Source organism: Homo sapiens, chromosome 11, assembly GCF_000001405.40.
Source record: "Homo sapiens chromosome 11, GRCh38.p14 Primary Assembly".
NCBI lineage: Eukaryota > Metazoa > Chordata > Mammalia > Primates > Hominidae > Homo > Homo sapiens.
This window is the reverse complement of record NC_000011.10, coordinates 102,711,796-102,727,002: the sequence shown is the minus strand read 5'-3', so window position 1 is coordinate 102,727,002 and position 15,207 is coordinate 102,711,796. Positions and strand designations below refer to the sequence as shown.

Sequence of the window (15,207 nt, the reverse complement as noted above, 5' to 3'; positions counted from 1 at the left end):
TCCCAGGGACCAGAAGCAGGTGAGGCACAGACACCACGGAGGTAGACAGTGGTCAGGTGTGGAGAAAGGATTCAGAAGGCACAAGCTGGAGCCCTGAAAGCAAATGCAGTATAGCCTTCTCCACCACTGCACCAGGGCTGGGCCTGTTGGGGGAATCCAGACCCAACCGTTCAATTTTTTAACATAGCATTTACCCAAACACCAAAAACTAAGTTTACCGAAGTTTTAGATTCTCAACTAAATCACTTGCTGTTATGTTCAGAAGAAAGTACATTTATAAACCTTGTAAGCAAGCCATTGCATCAAAATAACTCAACATAGAGTTAGACCAATGTTAAGGCATTTTCGTGGAGGAAAAAGCATTTTTTCACCAAAGACCTAATGTAAAGAAAGCCACATTAAGCCATGAACTCAAGGAGGATGAACATGACCGTGATCTTTGAACAATTTGGCAGGAAGCTGTCACATTTATATTAATACAAAGAATGGGTTGCTACATCTCTGCATGTCTACATTCTACCTCTTCATGATCCGGTTCAAATTCCACCTCCCTCATGAAACCTTCCTTGATTTCACTCCCTCCACACCACTGCTGTTTCCTCCAAACACCCACAGCATTTTATCCAAACCTCTATTAATTTATCTCCAATACTCTAGCACCCATCACAGCATGTGGCATGTAGTAGATGACAGGAAATGTTTACTGAATGAATGTAGGAATATACATCATTAACATTAATCTGCTGTCCAGATATGTTCTAACCCAAGACACCTTTCTTTGGATCATTTTCAAAGTTCCTAAGTGACCTCAGGAAAGATCAGAACTCCTTATCATAGCATCTCAAATACACTCTTTACATATTAATACATGCTATGTATCATACATGTAGACACATGCATTTATACACAAGAATACCTGCCTTTACCAAATATGTATGCATATATGTAAATGAGTATTCACAAAGACTGTGTATGATAACAAACTACATGCATGTGGACTCAGAATAAGTGGGACCAGGTTACATGATTTGAAAAGCATGCCCAGGGGCCTCTGACAAACAGTCTCCTATGTAGCCATATTGTCTGGAAATCTCTCAGTGTCTTACTCCTTGAAGATGTACAACATCTCATTCTCCCTCTCCCTTGTCTTCTGCCTGTGAATATAAGCCAAAGTATCCAGCTGTTGAAGGCCTAGAGCTGCTGCTCCACTATGGCCCAGCCAGAGACTCAAGTGGGAGACTACCATGCAGAGCTTATAGTAGCTCCCAGCTCAGTCTCTCTAAACATACCCTCTGGGGTTGAATCCTGGCCCCTCCACAAATGAAACATGTGACTTAAACAGGTCATCTAAATGTCTCTGGATTTGATTTCATCTGTAAAATGGAGATAGTAATAGCATCTCCCTCCCAAGGCTATGTGAAGATGGATTGGGGTAATATGTGGAACACAGTACAAATGTCTGGGCAATCATAATTTTTTAGCAAATGTTCATTATTATCATCATCAGTATTGTTCTCTTTATCTTTTCCATGGAAAGTCTAACTTATAGACTAGGGATTTTCTAATATGTTGATACCAAACCACATCCTCCAGAAGCAGCTCTAGGCCCCATACAAAGCCTGCTTTGTAATAACACAGTCACTCATTCTCTCCACATACAATGAGGGAGGGTAAGTACAGAGATTCTCTAGTTGGGCTCCTTGGTCCCAAGATATCTACCACAAACCTCAAAATATTCCCCTGCATAAGTTAATTCAACCTCAACATCTTACATAGTCAAAAAATGTATCCACATAACTTCAGGATTAGTCCCTTGTTCCTTTTCCTCAACCAATTTTGTAAAAGGAAATAACTAAAACATCCAAAAGCAAAGAGTAGAAAGTTGGAGTTTTGAAAGACTGTTGAAAGACTCCCCCATTTGGGGGTACTAAATCACATTATAAAATTGCAAAACTGTCAGAGTGTAATTAACCTATGTTGCTTCATATTCCTGATGCAGCAATTGTTTAAGACATGGCTTTAAAGAGGACTGCAAGAGAGCTGTGAGTGACACATGATGCTGTGAACGTCAGGGTGCTCGCCAGGGAAGGGCCCTACCCAGAGGGACAGAAAGAAAGCCAGGAGGGGTAGAGTTTGAAGAGAAGATCATGTTCTCCCTGAAGACGCTTCCATTTCTGCTCTTACTCCATGTGCAGATTTCCAAGGCCTTTCCTGTATCTTCTAAAGAGAAAAATACAAAAACTGTTCAGGTAAATGAACTATCAGTTAGGTGATGTTTGATTTGCTGATTATTAGGAAATAGTGTGGGTTGTTTTCTCTTGTTAATTAAAACAGCCTGAAAGAAATTATTTGGGTGATTAGTTTGAGATTGAACATCTCCTTTTAGTGATTTGGAGGGTTCCAAGCTGGTAAGGACTAGGCCTTTTAAAAGCCGGACATGAAAACAAGCTGAATTCTTTAAAGGCTGGGAAAATACTGCTGTAGAGTTACCCCTAGTTGGGAAACTTTTGTAGAAGAAATGGTTTTATTTATAAAATGGTATCATTTTCTTTCTCATTTACCTAAGGTTTTTCCTTCCAGGATATCTGCAATCAAGTTACTATATGTCTGGTGCTTCCATACAGGCATTTTCTTTGCCGCCAAAAATTCCAGATATAGAAAATAATGTGAGGATGGTAGATTACAATGAACTAGAAATCAGTACACAGTAAAATCATATTTCCCAGCATCAGATTGTGGACTGTTTATAAACTCTTGGAAGCATTATAAAAGCAGAACCAATAGTTTTTTTCCATTGTTTCACAGTCTGAAAGTGAACCCAAATTTTTAAGAAACACAAGGGAATTCTGTCACAAATCTCTCATGCACAGTTTTCTTAGCATTATAGTTTGGAGAAAGCATTATTATTATTAAGAGGTTATCTCTTAATTGTAACCCCCGGGTTAATGTAAAGTCCATTGAGTGCTTATTCTATGCAAGGCAACTGCTACACATTTCACAAATATCTCATTTAATCCTCACAAGAACCTTATTGGAGCATTATTATTTTCATTTCAGAGACAAAAATATCTTAAATCAGATAAATAATGTGGCCAAGTGCTCACAGTTAATTCATGGCAGAGTTAAGATTTGAACCCAGGCCTGTCTGATTCCAAAGCGTGTGATCTGGTCAGTGTCACCTACTGCTGTGGTTAGAGTGTGTCCCTTGAATTTATGTGTTAAAGATTTAGTAGCCCATGTGACAGTGGGTCCTTTAAGAAGTACTTAGGTCATTAAGAAAGATTAATGACACTCTTGTGTGACTGGATTAATTTTTGCTGGAGTGGGTTCTGGCTCTTGCAGAACTGGATTAGTAATTAATAGAATGGGTATTATAAAGAGGGGCTGCCCTTTGTGTTTTGCCCCTTTTCACACATGCTTGCTCCCCTTTTGTTTCTCTGCCATGTTATGACACAGCACAAGGCCATCTCAGAAGCCAACCAGATGCAGCCACCTGATCTTGGACTTCCCAGCCTCCAGAATTGTGAGAGAAAATCAGCCCCTTTTATGTATAAGTTACCCAGCTTCAGATATTCTGTTATAGCAACAGAAAATGGACTAAGACACTGACAAGGTGCCAGGTGTTCACAGGCAGCATGAGGTCTAGTTAGGTTACATTTCACTGTGTATGAAGAAACTTTTAAGCCAAACTTAAAATAGGTAATTTTTAGGCTAAACTCTTTGGATTTTGACTAAATTTAACACTTCCAAAGAGTTACTTTGGTGAATAAAATGCTAATATCAATGATATTGCTGTTCCCCTAAAAGATATTTGAAATTATTTTGAAATTATCAGTTCTCATTTGAGAGGCAACATGGTGAGTTAAAATCTGAATCATCACTTGGAAAATTCCTTAATTCTCTGTGCTTCTGTTTGTTCAGCAGAATAAATAAGCCTTTTCTACAGTAGTGAAGAGGATAAAAAAGAGGAACTGCACTGATGCAACAAATACCTCAAGAGAAGTCAATTAATGTTAGTCCTAATTTTTTTGTAAAAACAAGAAGACAGTCTCCTGACTGTAGAGTAGCACTTTGCCTGTGTGATGTGATCCTCATCCCTTATGAGACACCCTTTTTTATGCATAACCATTAACTGGAGCACTGAGTGGAGGAACTGTTCTTTCTAAAAAGAGTTGTTCTCTCAAAGCCAACCTACAAATTAATTTGTGTTATTGTTCCTGTGGCTGTCAAGTTATCAGACCTCTGTAGTAACTTAGAAAGGGTTGCAAAATGACCAGAGAACTGGAGGTCCTTTCACAGCAAGACCCCTATGTGCTTGTCTTTGTCCAGGACTACCTGGAAAAGTTCTACCAATTACCAAGCAACCAGTATCAGTCTACAAGGAAGAATGGCACTAATGTGATCGTTGAAAAGCTTAAAGAAATGCAGCGATTTTTTGGGTTGAATGTGACGGGGAAGCCAAATGAGGAAACTCTGGACATGATGAAAAAGCCTCGCTGTGGAGTGCCTGACAGTGGTGGTTTTATGTTAACCCCAGGAAACCCCAAGTGGGAACGCACTAACTTGACCTACAGGTGATATCTCTAGGGTTTCAGGATACACTCATTTATCCAGTATGGACTGGGCTCTTATATGACAGACACTGTTCTTGGGATACACTAGGAACAAGTAGATAAATATCCCTGCCTTTGAAGAGTGTGAGTAGTGAATGAATATGAGAATGAAAATGTTGAGATACCGTGGGTTCTTTCCACTCCAAGGCTTCCCGTTTTAGTCTTCCTTCTCCAACAATCTAAAGAGGACTACCAGCAATGTTAGGCTGTCTCTCTAAGCACTTACTTTAGGACCCAACAAAGGCTTAATCATTGCTGGAGAGAGTCAAGTCCCTCCTTTCATACATCTTAATAATAATAATAATATCTAATATTTGTGGAATATTATTACTATTTGACAAGTAATGAACTAAATGCTTTATATGTATTTAATCCCCACGGCAGCCCTATGAGAGGGATACTATATTAGTATCCTCATTTTATGAATAGGAAACTGAGGTTTAAAGACATGTATTAACTTGTTCAGAACCCACATCTGTCCTCCACCCTGAGACCTGCACTCCCTCCTTATCCTCTCCAGTGGTAGCACACCATGATGCAACTCACTTCAAAACAGAACAACTCATCAGTTGATGGACTACTGTTCTAAATAACATTTAACTCTTCATACATCCTCTCATTTTGAAGGATTCGAAACTATACCCCACAGCTGTCAGAGGCTGAGGTAGAAAGAGCTATCAAGGATGCCTTTGAACTCTGGAGTGTTGCATCACCTCTCATCTTCACCAGGATCTCACAGGGAGAGGCAGATATCAACATTGCTTTTTACCAAAGAGGTAGGTACAAAGCAGTCATGCTCAGTTTTGCTTTCTTTGGCTAACCTGAAACTTGGCAAGGATCTAATACAAATGTTCTTATTTCAGATCACGGTGACAATTCTCCATTTGATGGACCCAATGGAATCCTTGCTCATGCCTTTCAGCCAGGCCAAGGTATTGGAGGAGATGCTCATTTTGATGCCGAAGAAACATGGACCAACACCTCCGCAAGTAAGTTAATCAAGATTATGTCCACACACAGCTTCTGAATTAACCTTTTACAGATTAGAATACACACACACACACACACACAATAAAGGTAACATAATATTTCAAACTCACAAAAAGTGATCATTTGAAATTTTTGCTACCTCATGATACTAAGTCAATTTGGGATTTTTTTAAAAAAAGAAAGAAAAAGACATGCTGAATCTGATTACTGACCTTACTTCTTAGGTCAGAGATCAGAAAATACAGACTACGGCCAAATCCTGCCTGACCCCTGTCTGTATAAATAAAGTTTTATTGAAACAGGGCCACATTTATTTGTTTCTATATCATAAATGGCTGCTTTCACTCTACAATGGCAAGCTGAGTAATTGCAACATGGATCATTTGGCTTACAAAGCCTAAAATATTTGCTATCTGGTTCTTTACAGATACTGCTTTAGAATATCTTTATTTTAATATTCCCAAATTTAGTGATGTTTGAAAAGAGCCTATTTTTCCATTTTTGGAAATTCATTTAGAAATTATAATTTCTATAATTAGAAATTAGCCTATTTTTCCATTTTTTGGAAATTCATTTAGAAATTATAATTTCTATAATTAGAAATTAGTCTATTGAGAAAAGAACAGACACCTTCCCTCTCATCTAGTTAGTTCATCTCCTTGGAGCTCTTCTTCAGTGGTATGCTTCTGTACAGCAAGCCACTCCTTTCAGGAGAAGGCTCCTATTAAGAAGGACTGGGCTGCTTGAAGGGAAGAAATGAGGCTGAGGACAGGTATACCCAGACCATGTGGTACTTCACAAAATATGGGGTAACAATATGCCAGAGAGCACTTTTAGAAAATAATCAGAAAGGCACCTTTTACCTTTGCTTGGCACCTGTTCCTCCTGCCATTTTCTCAACATGGGTATGTTACGAGGGTCTATTCTACCTAAGTCCATATGCTAGGAGCTGTGTGTAGCCAAAGATAGGTAATAACCCTCAGCTCCTCTCCATTCCCTGTTGCCCTCCTCACTAGTTCGGATGATCATTACCTCTTACCTGAACGAATGATCTAGATTCCTAACTGGACTCTCCATCTCCAGTATGTGCTCCCTCTAATTTTTCCTACCATTGCAGCAGGGTTTGTTTTTGGAAGCCCATCTTGGATCACATCACTCTCATGCTTAAAAGTTTCAATGTTTACACATTCTGCACCAAATAAGGTCCAAATACTTCCACTTGGTATTGAAGGCTCTTGGTGCTTGTTCATCCTTGTCTTTCTTGGCTTGTCTTCTTATTTCACGTATTCCATTCACATCGGGCTAACACCCACATTGTACATTCACTGTTTCTAGGTCACACCCTATGCTTTTCATCTTCCTCACATTTGCTTGAATTGCTTCCTCTCCCTGAAATACTCTTCCCATGCCCCACGCACCACCTTTTAAAATCTCTCTCATCTTGCCATGCTATGTATGTCAAAGGCCACCTTCTGTCTTGCCTTGTCCTGGAAATGAGAACTTCCTCTGCAGAATTCTGACAGCTTTTGTATCTCCTTCTCTGTCATCACTCACTGTGTGCTTTCAAGTTGTTTGCACACATCTCTCCTCTTCTAGACTATGCACTCCCTGTAGAGCAGAGAACCACAACAAATTGCCCACAGTTCCTTTCACGGTATTCCAAGCATTCAAAGATATTTTTCTGAAATGCACTCATGAATGCATAATTAAAAGGATGTGATGATAAGAAACAATTCTTAGAGCATGGGTAGAATTTTAGCAGGCTAATTATCAACAGGAAGTTGAACATTGCAGTAAGAGCATGGATCTTGCCATTATACCTGGGTTTGACCCCAATCTGTCACTTACTAGTTGAGGGACCAAGTACCAGCTATTCAAAATCTATGGGCATCAGTCACTTTACTATAAAAATATTGTTAATAAAACTTCAGAAAAATGTTATGAGGATTGCATAACATTAGATTGCCTAGTATGTTGTAGGTACTCTACAATTATGGCTTTTTTTAAAAGTAGGCATATACAAAAATGCATCAGTGTGTTTGTGAGGCAGCATGTAGACTGGCTGGACTGAAGGATTCATGTTAAAAGGCAAGCACTCAAATATCTGCTGGAGCCAAGTGGAGGAGGTCTTGAAGGCCAGGCAAAAGAGGTTGGGCTTTATTTGATAGGAAGTGAGATCCTGGGAAGGTTTTAAGTCTCCAGTTGTGAACGGCACTATGCTCATGGAAGTTAAAACATGGAGAAAGAGAGCAATAAGGGTAGGATTTGTCTCTCTCCAGTAGAGAATTCCTAGAGCATCTTAGAAAGCTCAGAAACAGAGAAGAGCTGGTGCTAAGCTGTGGGTGATGAGGGAGCCAACATGAGCCAGCCCTCCATCTGAGGCTGCTCCACTGCTGGGCTGGCTTCTCTTCTAACTACTTGCTCACAGGGACTCTACTCGTGAGGCTGAGTGTCTGGGACAGTGGAGATGGTGATTGTGGGAATGCAAGAGAAGAGGGGTTCCCAAAGTCATGACGGCTCTGCCATTACTTCTCCAAGTCTCAGATGCACATTTGTAAAATGTGAGAATTGGAATAAATGCAGCTTTTCTGGGTTCTAAGAGTTTATAAGAAGTTCATACTCACCTAGTCGCCATCTATGACCACTATCTTGATTCTTCTCAATGTCCACTTTCTCAGGTATCTGAAAGAAAGATGAAAAAGACAGCCATGGGAAGGGCTATTTCCCTGAGCAGTTTTGACTTGGAGGTTGCATTCCTTGAGATCATGTTTCTGCCACCCTGGGATCCACACTGAGCTGTTTACCACCCGTGTTTGCATTTCAGATTACAACTTGTTTCTTGTTGCTGCTCATGAATTTGGCCATTCTTTGGGGCTCGCTCACTCCTCTGACCCTGGTGCCTTGATGTATCCCAACTATGCTTTCAGGGAAACCAGCAACTACTCACTCCCTCAAGATGACATCGATGGCATTCAGGCCATCTATGGTAAGGTCTTCTCAAGAGAGTCATAGTACATGGTAGGACCTGGGAATAGGCGAACACTCCCAGAATCTGAATATCTCTTCCTTTGCACTTCTGCAGTTTCCATAAAACTGAACTCTGAATTTCCCCAGTAATAAAGCATTAACAAAGAAGGTGTGAGGGACTGAGCCTCTATTGCTGCCCTAAAAGAAAAAAAGTTTAAGAAGAAATGCACTACAGTGCTTCCCAGTTATTGTCTTTGGATGGTGGGGATTTTTTTCTTCTTTTTTAGGCTTTCCAAATTTCCAATTTTAAATTTTTTTTGGGGGGGGGGATGGAGTCTCACTCTGTTGCCCAGGCTGGAGTGCAGTGACGCGATCTTGGCTCACTGCAACCTCTGCCTCCCAAGTTCAAGCAATTCTCCTGCCTCAGCCTCTCAAGTAGCTGAGATTACAGATGCCCACCACCACACTTGGCTAATTTTTGTATTTTCAGTAGAGAGGTGATTTCACCACAATGACCAGGCTGGTCTTGAACTCCTGACCTCGAGTGATCTGCCCACCTCAGCCTCCCAAAATGCTGGGATTACAGGCGTGAGCCATTGCACCTGGCCCCAATTTTAAATATTCTAAAAAGACATGACTATTCTTTTTCCTACAGCAATCCTGCTCCCAGATGTATCTATCAAAGAAATTCTCATGTAGATCCATAAGGGGACATGTACAAATCATGCCAAAGATGTTCACTGCAGTCTTGTTTGTGGTAATGGAAGTTGGAAGACACCTGGGAGTCTATTAGGAGAAGACTATACAGATAAAATGTGGTAGCTGCACACCATGAAGTGATGTGCAGCAGTGAGAAACATGGTACTAGATGCACATATGGCAACAGTACAGATGGGTCTTTAAAACTTGGTACTTTGTGAAAAAGAAACAGAATGAGATATATTGCACAATGTATTAATTAAATTACACAATATATAAGTCTATGTAAATTTAAAATGTATATAAACAAAGCAAGGCATTTTTCAAGAAGAAGAAAGGGAATGGTAGTGGAGTATGGAGAGAAAAAAAGAAACTTTTTTAAGGCATCACTGATACATTTCAAGGATAAGTATAGGGGCCTTTTGCCATATTGCCTGGATAAGACCATTACATCTCTCTTCACGCTTGCCCTTCTGTTCCCTAGTTGGCTGTGAATAAAAACAAGAAACCAATAAGGGATTTACTGCTCTCTAAAAAAGTGTGGAATGGAATGGAATAGTGGATTGGAGTGAAATATAATTGAATGGAGTGGAACAGAGTGGAGTGGAATTGGGGAAAGCCCTTTTCTGTCTCTGGTGGGACAGCACTATAAAATCAAGCAAGCATGCCAGGGTGCCACAACCAGGGAACTTTTTTGTGATTGCAGATATTTCAGAAATGTTGAGCCTATCCTAACTGCCTCTATTCCCCAATTTCTTCCTCCTGCCCACCCCAACAACACCCCTTTATTTTGTTCACCAATGTTTTTATCTTAACTATTATTATAGCCTTTCATTCCACAGTGAGAAAACACATGAAAATTCAAATACTTATAGAAAAAATATTGCTAAAATTTGACTTAGGTGTATGCTATAGCGTAAAAGACTAATATCATTCTTTCCTGAAAGTGGATTTTGGTGAGGAGAGAGGCAATAGATACTGAGTGACCAAAAAAGCAGAAAGAGGAACTGAAAAGTCAGAGAAGAATTAGTTTAGAATTTAAAAGGGAAGGAAGGAGCATAGAATTCAAATTTCTTTACTTCACAGCTTGACCTGGAACTTACCCTGAAAACCATCATTACTCTTATTAAAGAAACAAAAACTTTAAAAGGATGAAATATACAATTACTTTAATACTTTATGGTATAGTCTGGTAGCACTTACCTTCACATGAAGACCCTTCACCTTTCTGAGAAGTCTCTGATGTACCCAAGAGTCACACCGGACTTACTCTCATAAGAAAGACCTTTTTTTTTTTTTTTTTTTTTTTTCCAGGACTTTCAAGCAACCCTATCCAACCTACTGGACCAAGCACACCCAAACCCTGTGACCCCAGTTTGACATTTGATGCTATCACCACACTCCGTGGAGAAATACTTTTCTTTAAAGACAGGTATAAAATTGAAATATTTCTTCCTTTGATTCCTCTTACTGACATACCTTAAAACTGGATTCAAATTAAGTCACACGTTAGTCACCTTTTCCTTGAATTCTATACTTGTGCTTCTCATCGGAATTTTTTATAGGTTCTGGGGCACCACTAGGATTATCATAGCCCCCTGAGCTTAACTTTATCATCTTCGTCTTTTAAAGACTATTTGTACCATTTTTGTGTCTATACTGAATTTATGCAATTGAGTATTTTCTGGGTAACTCAAGACATCCAGGAGAAAAAAAAAACATGAAAACATTCACAAACATTCAGATGCCTTTGGTGATGTAAACAGACATGGGCTACAGCTGCTTGGGAACCCCATAGCTGAAACACCAAAGCACCATCCAGTTCCATCCAAAATCAGTCAAGTAAATGGAACCTGCGCTTAGCTAGCTGTGCAGCAAATCATCAAACTGAGCGAAATTTTTATTTGTCCATTGGCTATTTTGTGAGTGTGCAATCACAGGCTGAGGGTACATGCTGTTGCTTTTATCAATATGTTCACAGCATTTACTGGGAGCAATAATGAAAGATGCTACAAAGTAAGATTTTTCAATGTCCAAGGCAGGACAATGCCAAATGTAATCAAATAAGATCACTCCCATAACCTTCCCTGAAAGCTGTGAAGTACTTGCCAGATGGACAATATCACTATAAAGCTTCGCCATATGCTGGTCACTGTGCTAGGAACTTTGCATTCGTTCGATTGTTATATTCTCCCAGCAATCCTACAAGGACCATCACTAGCCTAAAAGTCACAGGAACTGCCTACTTAGACTGTTATGTATAAGTGTGTGTGTGTGTTTCCTTATGTTCCGTTAGGTACTTCTGGAGAAGGCATCCTCAGCTACAAAGAGTCGAAATGAATTTTATTTCTCTATTCTGGCCATCCCTTCCAACTGGTATACAGGCTGCTTATGAAGATTTTGACAGAGACCTCATTTTCCTATTTAAAGGTAACTTCCTAAAGTTTTCATCTTATGTTAGTTCTGCCTGAAGGGAGGGGGCAGGACTTCTTTGTGGTCCCTTTCAGGTTCATGGTGAGCTAATGACAGCATTAAGCTGGCCAGGCTTTTGCCAGAAGACTAGGGTTGGGCCCCATCAGGACCACTAACTACTGTGTGAACCTGAGTGGGTTATTTGCTTTTCAGCCCTCAGTTTTCTCACCAACAAAATGAGACCACACTAGACTGTCGTTAGCATTCTTTCATCCTCATCCCAGATACAATTCTCTAAGACTCCTCAAGCTGTAATTTGGTTTCTGCATAAAAGTCACACAAACTAAGGCATCCAATTGTGGGGCCTTGAATGTCTTGCTCAGAAGTTTTTATTTTTTATAGGCTCTGGGGAACCATTAAGGCTCTCACAGCCCCCCTGAACTTAACTTTATCATCTTCATCTTTTAAAGACTATTTGTTCCATTTTCATATCTATGTGCAAGACCAAGAAGTGGTATATATATATATATATATATATATATATATATATATATATATAATTTTGTAAAAATGGAAAAGTCGTATTTAACACTTAACCTGAATCATTGACAGGCAACCAATACTGGGCTCTGAGTGGCTATGATATTCTGCAAGGTTATCCCAAGGATATATCAAACTATGGCTTCCCCAGCAGCGTCCAAGCAATTGACGCAGCTGTTTTCTACAGAAGTAAAACATACTTCTTTGTAAATGACCAATTCTGGAGGTAACGTAAACTATTTTTTCAATTATAGGTTGAAATCTGTGTTTCTCTACCCTGCTTACAAACCTTCAAGCATTTCAAGGTTTAAAACAATCTAGATAGTCTCTAATAGGTTTTACCGAGAATATATTCTTTTTTACAGGATGATTGATGTTACCATGGCTTTTGAAATTTTTCATTTCTATAAAATTAAAATGTCTATGCAATAGTATTGAGGATTCTGCATCAAGAAACAAAGAAAACCTTAACAAAGCACTAGGGTGAGATACAAAGAAAGATTTAAGCTAATTCTCACTTATGAGTTCAACTCAGACATATGCAAGCAAATGTTATCCAGATAGCCTGCAGAATTTGGTTCCCAAGTTGAACCTATTATGTATGTTTATATATCTATATACACACACAAGGGAGTTATACTATATACCAATTAAGTAAAAGCCTTGAAAATATAAGCTTACTTTGGGTAATAACAGTGTGTCAGCCATCAAGCCTGTTTTAGAATTAATGATAACCATATGTTTTATAAATGTGTACCCTTAGGTAGAGAAATTAACCATTCTTAATCCTAGTAAACAGGGCATTGTGAGAACTGAATGAAAAAATATGTGTGAGGAGACTTTGTAAATTATATACAATAAAAAAAATTTTTTTCGTTATATTCTGTATTGGTGTTAAATCGGATAACATTTTGTTTTTACCAGATATGATAACCAAAGACAATTCATGGAGCCAGGTTATCCCAAAAGCATATCAGGTGCCTTTCCAGGAATAGAGAGTAAAGTTGATGCAGTTTTCCAGCAAGAACGTAAGTAGGAAAAAAAAACCTAATAAATGTGTTGTTTGTTTGTTTATTATAGAGGAGACAGGGTCTTACTATGCTGACCAGGTTAGTGTCAAACTCCTGGCCTCAAGCAATCCTCCCACCTCAGCCTCCCAGAGTTCTGGGATTACAGGCATTAGCCACCGCACCTGGTGTTTAAATTTTTTAAATAGCATGTTTGCATTTGAATGTTATGTTGGAACAGGGGCAGGGTTTTCTAACTGAAGACATCTGAGATATTCTATAAGCTAATTCAATAAATTATCTCTCTTTTTTTATAGATTTCTTCCATGTCTTCAGTGGACCAAGATATTACGCATTTGATCTTATTGCTCAGAGAGTTACCAGAGTTGCAAGAGGCAATAAATGGCTTAACTGTAGATATGGCTGAAGCAAAATCAAATGTGGCTGTATCCACTTTCAGAATGTTGAAGGGAAGTTCAGCAAGCATTTTCGTTACATTGTGTCCTGCTTATACTTTTCTCAATATTAAGTCATTGTTTCCCATCACTGTATCCATTCTACCTGTCCTCCGTGAAAATATGTTTGGAATATTCCACTATTTGCAGAGGCTTATTCAGTTCTTACACATTCCATCTTACATTAGTGATTCCATCAAAGAGAAGGAAAGTAAGCCTTTTTGTCACCTCAATATTTACTATTTCAATACTTACATATCTGACTTCTAGGATTTATTGTTATATTACTTGCCTATCTGACTTCATACATCCCTCAGTTTCTTAAAATGTCCTATGTATATCTTCTACATGCAATTTAGAACTAGATTTTGGTTAGAAGTAAGGATTATAAACAACCTAGACAGTACCCTTGGCCTTTACAGAAAATATGGTGCTGTTTTCTACCCTTGGAAAGAAATGTAGATGATATGTTTCGTGGGTTGAATTGTGTCCCCCATAAAAGATATGTTGAAGTTCTAACCCCAGGTACCCATGAATGTGAGCTTACCAGGGTCTTTGCAGATGTAATTAGTTAAGTTAAGGTGAGATCACACTGAATTAGGGTGGGCTCTAAATCCATTATGACTGTTGTTCTTATAAGAAGAAGAGAGGCATAGTCACCTAGGGGAGGAGGCCGTATGAAGACAGAGGCAGAGATTGGAGTGACGCATCTCCAAGCCAAGGAATTCCAAGGACTGTAAGCCACCAGTAGAAGCTTTGAAGAGGCAAGGAAGGATTCCCTCCAATAGCCTTCAAGTGTGACCCTGCTGACACCTGCAGAATTCGGACTTCTATCCTCCAAAACCGTGAGGGAATAAATTTCCTTTGTTTTAAGCCACCAACTTTGCAATACTTTGTTACAGCAACCCTAGACATGAGGTACTAGACACAGTACATCTACACATATGAAAATGAATCAACACAGAATGCAGAAGTAGAACCCTTGCTAAGGACTACTGGGCATCTTCCCAGGACAGCAGCCAAAAGAGAACCACCACTTCCTCTCCTGCCTCCTCCTTGCTCTCTCCTAGAGTCCAAACCCAAATGGGCCAGTTGGATCTGATGTTCGTCAGTTCTTTACTTCTATTTCCTGGGGTACTCAGGAGGGCACACACTATAGATAACTTGGGTTAGCTGCATAAAATTCAATGTCTCATTAAGTTGCATTAAACTGAGCTTAGATGTGTAAGTTTGCTAACGGATGGGTTTTTTTGTTAAGAACTATAGGATTTATGGGACCAAGTCTAGCGAGTCCAGATATCAAAATCATTATAATGTTATATTTGCTGTTATTAGAATATAATATAGCTTATTATACAATAAATATGTAGACTGTAAAATATATTTCTCACTAGTACCTCCTATTTTCTTTCTCTGTTGAAGTTTTTAAATCCCACAGATAATTAAATTGGCACCTTTATGCTTGTTCAAAAATTAAAATAATCTATTAAATAAGTTCAAATTAAAGATTTTTACTTCAAATGA

The 15,207-nt window shown here is 39.0% G+C and overlaps 1 protein-coding gene across 7 annotated transcripts, besides 1 other annotated feature; it reads left to right on the top strand.

Moving 5' to 3' along the window:
* Nucleotides 1,643-2,842: an enhancer, noted in NCBI's record as "BRD4-independent group 4 enhancer chr11:102594892-102596091 (GRCh37/hg19 assembly coordinates)". NCBI's record gives its function as "activates an origin of replication core promoter dependent on BRD2, P300/CBP, MED14 and CDK7 cofactors, and independent of BRD4, by STARR-seq in HCT116 cells {active_cell/tissue: HCT116}" and the evidence as "EXISTENCE:reporter gene assay evidence [ECO:0000049][PMID:35650434]".
* Nucleotides 2,049-15,207, top strand: MMP8 (matrix metallopeptidase 8). 7 transcript variants are annotated; one of them, XM_011542835.3, is made up of 12 exons: nt 2,049-2,249; nt 3,457-3,523; nt 3,925-4,012; nt 4,330-4,574; nt 5,241-5,389; nt 5,477-5,602; nt 8,428-8,589; nt 10,584-10,701; nt 11,566-11,699; nt 12,294-12,447; nt 13,146-13,249; nt 13,546-15,207. In XM_011542835.3, exons 3-12 carry the CDS (start codon nt 3,980-3,982, stop codon nt 13,653-13,655), a joined length of 1,335 nt encoding a protein of 444 aa, XP_011541137.1. In that variant the 5' UTR covers nt 2,049-2,249; nt 3,457-3,523; nt 3,925-3,979; the 3' UTR covers nt 13,656-15,207. The 7 variants fall into 7 exon arrangements, with proteins under 7 accessions (XP_011541137.1, XP_047282921.1, NP_001291371.1 ...); XM_047426965.1 differs by having other exon boundaries at nt 3,922-4,012; NM_001304442.2 differs by lacking the exon at nt 3,457-3,523.

What these genes read in the sequence shown, in the direction of transcription:
- MMP8 (XM_011542834.3), top strand. Translation starts at nt 2,188, where the DNA reads ATGTGCAGATTTCCAAGGCCTTTCCTGTATCTTCTAAAGAGAAAAATA. An exon ending in AAAATACAAAAACTGTTCAG is followed by an intron (nt 2,250 to 3,456) that starts GTAAATGAACTA and finishes GTTATGACACAG; the next exon opens with CACAAGGCCATCTCAGAAGC. An exon ending in TGGCATTCAGGCCATCTATG is followed by an intron (nt 8,590 to 10,583) that starts GTAAGGTCTTCT and finishes TTTTTTTTCCAG; the next exon opens with GACTTTCAAGCAACCCTATC.